At 41.8% G+C, this 8,193-nt stretch overlaps 1 annotated feature.

The window, feature by feature from the left end:
* Positions 2,565 to 2,614: a silencer, noted in NCBI's record as "silent region_4390". NCBI's record gives its function as "represses an Ori minimal core promoter by ATAC-STARR-seq in GM12878 lymphoblastoid cells {active_cell/tissue: GM12878}" and the evidence as "EXISTENCE:reporter gene assay evidence [ECO:0000049][PMID:35858748]".

Genomic DNA, 8,193 nt, shown 5'->3' with positions numbered 1-8,193 from the left:
CAGTGTGGCTACTTTAATAGCCACGAGCAAGGAATGAGTAAGAAATGTTTCTCATTTGTTTGTGTCAACTATGATTTATTTTAGTAGCATTTTGTACTTCTCCTTGTAGAACTCTTTCACTTCTTTGGTTAGATGTATTCCTAGGTATTTTAGGGTTTTTTTTTTGGCTACTGTAAATGAAATTACATTCTCAATTTGTCTCTCAGTTTGAATATTATTGGTGTATAGAAATGCTACCAATTTTGTACATTGATTTTGTATCCTGAAACTTTACTGAAGTTGTTTATAAGTTCCAGAGCCCTTTTGGCAGAATCTTTAGGGTTTTCTAGGTGTAGAATCATATCATCAGCAAAGAGAGATAGCTTGACTTCTTCTTTTACTATTTGGATGTCTTTTTTTTTTTTATCTTACCTGATTGTTCTGGCTAGCACTTCTGGTGCTATTTTGAATAGCAGTGAGGAGAGTAGGCATCTTTGTCATGTTCTTTTTCTCAAGGGAAATGCTTCCAGTTTTTTCCCATTCAGTATGATATTGACTGTGGGTTTGTGATAGATGGCTCTTATTATTTTGAGGCATGTTCCTTCAATGCCTAGTTTGTTAAGGGCTTTTACGATTAAAGGATGTTAGCTTTTATCAAAAGCTTTCTCCATGTCTATTGAGATGATCATACGGCTTTTGTTTTTAATTCTGTTTATATGGTGAATCACATTTATTGATTTGCACAGCTGAACCAACCTTGCATCCCACGAATGAAGCCTACTTGATCATTGTGAATTAGTTTTTTGATGTGCTGTTAGATTTGGTTTTGTTGGATTTGGTTAAAGTTATTTTTGTCTATGTTCATCAGGGACATTGGCCTGTAGTTTTCTTTTTTTCATTGTGTCTTTGCCAGGTTTTGGTATCAGGGTGATGACGGCTTCACAGAATGAGTTAGGGAGGCATCCTCCTCCTTGTTTTCTTGGAATAGTTTCAGTAGAATTGGTACCACCTCTTCTTTGTACATCTGGCAGAATTCACCCAACTGTGAATCCATCTGGTCTGGGGCTTTTTTTGTGACTGATTCAATTTTGGAACTTCACATTGATCTGTCCAGTGTTTCAACTTCTTCCTGATTCAATCTTGGGGCCTTGTGTGTTTCCAGAAATTAATCCATTTCCTCTAAATTTTCTAGTTTGTGTGCACAGAGGTGTTCATAATAGTCTCTGAGAGTCTTTTGTATTTCTCTGCGAAATACAATTTCTTGTCTTTTAGAATGCTGAAAATAGGCCACCAGCCTATCTTGGTTGGTAAGGTTTATACTGAGAAGTCTGCTGTTAGCATGATAGGGTTCCCTTTGTATGTGATCTGATCTCTGTCTTTAGCTGCCTTTAACATTTTTTTTTCTTTAATATTGACCTTGGACAGTGTAGTGACTTAATTTCTTTGTTATGTTCATTTTGAATAGTTTGTCACAGATGTTCTCTGGATTTCTTATATCCAGATGTCTACCTCTCTAGCAAGATTAGGAAAATTTTCTTGAATTATTTCCTCAAATATGTTTTCCAGGTTGTTTACTTTTTCTCTTGTCTCTCAGGAATGCCAACAATGCATAGGTTTGGTCACTTGACATAATTCTATATTTCTCAAAGACTATCTTTAAAAAATTCTTTTTAACAAAATTTTTGTGTAAGTGGGTTAGTTCAAAAGACCAGTCTTCAAACTCTGAAATTCTTTCTTCTGCTTGGTGCAGTCTATTGATAAAACTTTCAGTTGTATTTTGAAATTCCCTAAGTGAGTTTTTCAATTCCAGAAGCTCTGACTGATTTATTTTTAGGATGTTTTATCTCTTCTTTCATTTCCCAGATTACTTTAGAAGTTTCCTTGTGCTGATTTTTTTTTTTTTTTTTTTAGATGGAGTCTTTCTTTGTCACCCAGGCTGGAGTACAGTGGTGTGATCTTGGCTCACTGGTACCTCCGCTTCCCAGCTCAAGTGATTCTCCTGCCACAGCCTCCCAAGTAGCTGGGACTACACACGTGCGCCACCACACCCAGCTAATTTTTTGTATTTTTAGTAGAAACAGGGTTTCACCATGTTGGCCAGACTGGTCTTGAACTCCTGACCTCAAGTGATCCTGCTGCCTTGGCCTCTCAAAGTCTTGGGATTACAGGCATGAGCCACTGCACCTGGCCTGTGTTGATTTTCAACCTTGTCTTGGATCTTATTGAGCTTCCTTGCAATTCATGCTTTGAATTCTTTATCTGTAATTTCTGGGTTTCCATCTGGGTTAGGGACCATTGCTGGAGAGCTACTGTGATCTTTTGATGTTGTCACATTCAGATTTTTCATGGTTCCAGAATTCTTGCTCTGATTCCTTCTCATCTGGAAGTGCTGGCACTTCTAATTTTTGTAATTATTTTTGTGTGGGTAGGATTTTTGTTTTTATTTCTTTCCCTATAAAATTATTGCCTTTTCTTCTTTTTCTTTCCCTTCCCCTCTTCCTACACTCTCTAGATATTACACGGGGCTGTGCAGTTAAACAGACAAGCCAGTAGATGTCACTTATGTGTAAGAGCTGGTTGTGGCCAACATGGCTGGGTATATACCCGATCCTTGTTTACTGAGAGGAGCTCTTTGTTGCCTCAGGCAATGGGCTCATTTATGGAATGCACAGTGGTCTGAGCTCTCTTCTCAGCTCCAGGGAATGGAGGGGTGGGGCAAGATGGGTGGAGCCGAACTTGGAAGGCCCAGTTACACGTCCCCTGATGGCAAGCATAAGCACCAGTGCCAAAGGAGAATCCAGTGGGCTGCCACCAAGTTTCTAGAGGTGTGCCTAGGCATGGAGCTAGGAAACCTCCTCAGCCCCAAGTTCTCTGGATGGGGATGGGTGTCAGCCTAAACTCCTAATCCAGGAGAGTGGTGCTCCAGGGTCCTGAAGATCTCCCTGGCCATGAAGCAGAGAAAAAGTCCCCTGCACCAAGATCTCTGTACAGGAGGGGTGGGGTGACTTCAGCTGCTGAACCAAGCAAGAAGGTGATTTGAATGTCTGGAGATCTGCTTGCAGTGGAGGGGGCCCTACTGTACCACAGTCTATGCACAGGAAGGGTGGGGGTGGCTCAGGCTGCTGAACCAAGAGAGCAGGTGCTCCAAATGCCTGAAGATATGCCTAGGGGTGAAGCAGGGAGAGCCACCTGCACCAGGATCTCTGCACAGGAAGAAAGGGCCAATTAGACTTCTAGTCCATGCTAACAGGTGCTCCAAATGCCTGCAGAGTTGCCTACATGTGGAGCAGAGAGGGCCCTATGAAACTTGGTTTCATTTTGTCATTGGCAGCTGCTATGGTTTGGGTAGGATTTGTTTGTTCCCAGCAAAACTCATGTTGAAATTTGGTCCTTGTCTTGCGGGGTTGGGAAGTAAGCCTGTGGGAAGTACTTGGTCATGGAGGCAGAGCCCTCATGCATGGCTTGGTACCCTTTTGTTAGTTAGTAAATTCTTTGTCTGGCCAGACTAGGTTCATTGCTGAGAATGGATTTCTTCCCTTGAGAATAGGTTGTGGTAAAGCCAAGATGCCATTGGGCTCTGACTTTTCATAATTCCCCTTTGACCTTCTCTACCATGTTTGGACCTACCATGTGGCTCTCACCAGAGCAGATGCTAATGCTATGCTTCTTGTACTTCCCAGCCTGCAGAACCATGAGCTAAATGAACCCCTTTTCTTTGTAAATTACTGGGTCTCAGATATCCTGTTACAGCAACACAAAACAGACTAAGTGAGCAGCACAGCCACCCTTTGTGATTCAGGGGGCAGATTCTCACCTTCAGCAAATCAGTTTGGGGATGCCTGCAGGAGCTGTCAACAAGGAAGACAAAGAATGTCAACAAGGAAGACAAGGAAGACAAAGACAAAGATATCTCGGGTTCCATCCTTTCCATTTTAGCTAGAAAAAAAAAGAGAGAAGAAGATGTATGGTGAGATACAGTTGCCCCATATGGGTCTTTTAAGAAAGAAGGGAAGTCTGATTCAGTGAAAGTCCCACAGTAATTCTGAAAGGCTAGGCCAAGTGCTGGCTTCTGTCACAAGTGTCCTGACAGCTACCCCAGTCTCTACCCAAGTTTTGGTAACATTTTTCATATTTCAGATGTTTTTACAAATCCCCATTACTCAACAGTGATTGATTCCTAGTTTTATTTTAGTTGAATTAAAAACGAGTCATTGGGCTGGGAGCAGTGGCTCATGCCTGTAATCCCAGCACTTTGGGAGGCCGAGACAGGTGAATCATCTGAGGTCAGGAGTTTGAGACCAGCCTGGCCAATGTGGTGAAACCCCATCTCTACTAAAAAAACAATTAGCCAGGCATGGTGGCAGGCAGCTGCAATCCCAGCTACTCAAGAGACTGAGGCAGGAGAATTGCTTGAACCCGGGAGGCAGAGGTTGCAGTGAGCTGAGATGGCATCATTGCACTCCAGCCTGGGAGACAAGAGCGAGACTTCTTTTAAAAAAAAAAAAGAGTGATTTTGTACTATAGGAGAAAAATTCATTTGTTGTTAAAAGAGGTACATTTTGAATCTCCATGGGCACCAAGAATAAAATCACATATTTTCAAAATGCAGACACTTTGATGTTCTTAATGGTTTACAAACATTTTCAGCCTGAAATAATTACTTAATTTTTTTCAAATTTTAAGTAAATTTTTTATTGAAGTATGACATGCAATCAGAAATGAGCACAACTCATAAATGTATAGCTTGTGAATTTTCATGAAGTGAACACATTTGTGTTTCACTGTCTGATCAAGAAACAGAACATGACCAGCCACTGGAACTCCTTGAAACTCCTTTCAATTGCTCCCCACCCCCCATTATCACCATCACCACCCGACAATGGTAGTAGCTTTGCCTGTTTTTGAAATTTACATGAATAGAGTCATATAATATGTCCTCTTTTGTGTCTGGACTCTTTTGCTCAATAGTATATTTGTGAAGATAAAGTTGTGGACCAAGGGCAAGGGAGGATAGGCATTTAATTCAGAAGACTGCTAGACATGGGGTCCAGACAGGCAATGACCTTGGCCCTGCAGCAGTGCCACCAGGGTGGTGAGAAAGACTGGAGCAGGGAGGATAGGAAGAAGTTGGTTAACTCGCACAAAGTTACAATTAGAGAGGAGGGATAAGTTCTGTTGCACATTCAGATGACTATGGTTAAGAGTAAATTATTGTATATTACAAAATAGCTAGAAGAGACACTTTTGGATGTCCTTACCACTAAGAAAGGATAAATTCACAAGGTAATGGATATGCTAAATGCCAATTTGATCATTATACAACATAGATGTATGGAAATATCAAATTGTATCCCATAACTATGTACAGTTACAATGTATTGATTTAAAAAAAATTAAGAAGAAAGACTAGAGTGAGGCCTACCAGATTTGGACTTTACTAAGTTCCACACTTTGATACTCCTGATATAGAATTCCCACCCCCACTCCCCGGGGTCATTTCGACTGTATTTGGAGGTACACTGACAGCACTCACTGAAGGAGTTATTACAAGTGTAGAGAGAAAAATCAAGGATGACTCTTCAGGTCTTTGTGTTTTTTTTTGAGACAGAGTCTCACTCTGTAGCCCAGACTGGAGTGCAGTGGCTTGATCTCGGCTCACTACAAGCTCCGCCTCCCGGGTTCACGCCATTCTCCTGCCTCAGCTTCCTGAGTAGCTGGGACTACAGGCGCCCACCACCACCCCTAGCTATTTTTTTGTAGTTTTAGTAGAGACGGGGTTTCACCGTGTTAGTCAGGATGGTCTCGATTTCCTGACCTTGTGATCCACCCGCCTCGGCCTCCCAAGGTGCTGGGATTACAGGCGTGAGCCACTGCGCCCTGCCGAGAAACACGTTTTTAAGGGGTGCTAAACAAATGCTTTGTTTTGGACAAGGTAAATTTGAGATGTTTCTTAAACAAAGTCCAAGTGGATCTGGAGCTCTGGAGTATAGTCAAAGCCTGAGTTAAAAATGCTAGGAATTCCTAGCATGAGGTTGGCTTTTAACTCTATGGAGGGGCACGGTGAGACTACAGGGTGAAATGAACATCATGTGGCATCTCAGAGGAAAATCCCCTCTTTTTCCCCATCTCTTCCTCTACAACCTACACTCACCTCGGGATGTGATTCACTCAGACTCTAGGCCCACGTCCTCCCCTTGGTCCCCTGCCTCTTCAGTCTTTCTCCTCCCCTCACCCTTCCCCTCAGTTGGTGTTACAAAAGTTCAAGTAACCGGGGAAGAGAGAATTTTCCTGAGAAAGGAAAAAGGTGGCAAAGGTAGGTAGGGAGGTGGTGGGGCTGGTTCTTGGAAAATTCTCTTTGACTGTAAAAGGGGAAACAAAAGCAGCACACAATCCAGTTAGTACCAGTGCACATACTAATACTTTTTGACCTGTCACACTTTTATTGTGGTTGTTTCTGATGAGCTGCCCCTGGAATTTTCTTGAAAGCAAGAAAAATTCCTATGTTCCTAGGGAATTCCACCATTACGTTAAACCAGAGAGAGCTTAACAAAATATATTTGTTGGATAAATTGCCTTTTCATCAAAAGTACTAAATTACCTGTGTATTTATTCAATATTTAATAATTCAACAGCAGTGGAGTAAATGTTTACTGAGCCAGTACAGTATATTTGTGGATGTGTGCACATGCGTGTGTGTGTGCGTGACTTGAACACTCATAAGTAGACTCCTACATTGTGGAAGCAATGATATTTGGGAGTAGAAGAAGAATCCTGTCTGATTAAACCATCTCTTCATTGTTTAAGTGTTGGCACCCTTTACTGGTAAGTACTTGTTTTTCAATAACAAGGATGGGATGTTGGAATGAAGCTCTGGCAATCCCTGGTAATGAAACTGAAGAGCAAACGTGGCTTCCCCCTCAGATATTTTTGGCAATTAATTCACTTATATCCAACCTCTAACAGATGTAGCACTTGGGGGGAAAGAATAACTTCCTTCGTGCCTAGATTCCTTATCTTCTCATAATTAAATCATAAACAAAATAAAAGATGAAATGAAATATACATCATTGCCTTAAGAAGAAATAGAAATGCAAATGAAACGGCACAATCTGTGGATTGACAGACTCACCAGGAGTTCGCATCTGGGACTTGGCTGGCTTCCAGAGTATTTGCTTGTTCATTTCCTTACCCTCTCCTCCCTCCTCTTTCAGTCTCATTGCTTTGCCCTGACTTGAGTCCCTCTGCTCTTTCTTATCTTGCCCTGGATGGCTATTTCTCTTTCTTTTGTACGATGAGTATTTTCACATTTCCTTAGGACAGTACTGCAAAATAAGGTCAGGTTATAAAAAGAAATTATATATTCTGCTGGCAAAATAACAAATTGACAAGTCAACGAGGGCCTAGGCAAATTGATTTTTGAAAAAAACGATATGGACAATGTAGTACCTTTCTTTTAGGAAACACTACACTGCATGTTCTTCACTTTGGGGACTATTTAGAGACCCAAAGACATATGATAGTTTGAAATAGGATAGGTTTTACTCACAGCTGGGGACCAAGTGCCACAGGCTCTAAAATAAGTTTTCTACTTCCTCTACCTCAGTGACTAAAATTTCTACTTGAGGACAATATTAGTAATGCTGTATACTTCATTGGTGTTGCTGATTCTATTATTATAAATATAGTTTTAAACTACACATTTGTATGTCTTTGTTCGGCTCACTACTGCTCTTTTTTTTTGAGATGGGGTCTTGCTCTGTTGCCCAGGCTGGAGTGCAGTGGTGTGATCTTGGCTCACTGCAACCTCCGCCTCCTGGTTCAAGCAATTCTCCTGTCTCAGCCTCCCGAGTAACTGGGATTACAGGCACGTGCCACCACACTTGATACATTTTTGTATTTTTAGTAGAGATGGGGTTTTGCCATATTGGCCGGTCTGGTTTCGAACTCCTGACCTCAGGTGATCCGACCACCTCTTCCTCCCAAAGTGCTGGGATTACAGGCTTGAGCCACCGCACCCAGCCTCCACTACTGCTTTGAAGTGCCCTCCTTTTGTGCCACACACTGAACTAAAGCACGATGACACTATCTTTCCTGGTTCTCATAAAACCCTGGGAGGAAGGCATTGCTATGCCTGTTTAACAGATGAGGCGTCTGAGTATTGGAGAAAACTCATCTAACTCTTCTTATGTGTAGCAGAGCTAGGAGTTCTGATTG

This window comes from Homo sapiens, chromosome 12, assembly GCF_000001405.40.
Source record: "Homo sapiens chromosome 12, GRCh38.p14 Primary Assembly".
Lineage (NCBI taxonomy): Eukaryota > Metazoa > Chordata > Mammalia > Primates > Hominidae > Homo > Homo sapiens.
The sequence above is the reverse complement of the archived record's forward strand: the minus strand, read 5'-3'. Positions and strand labels throughout refer to the sequence as shown.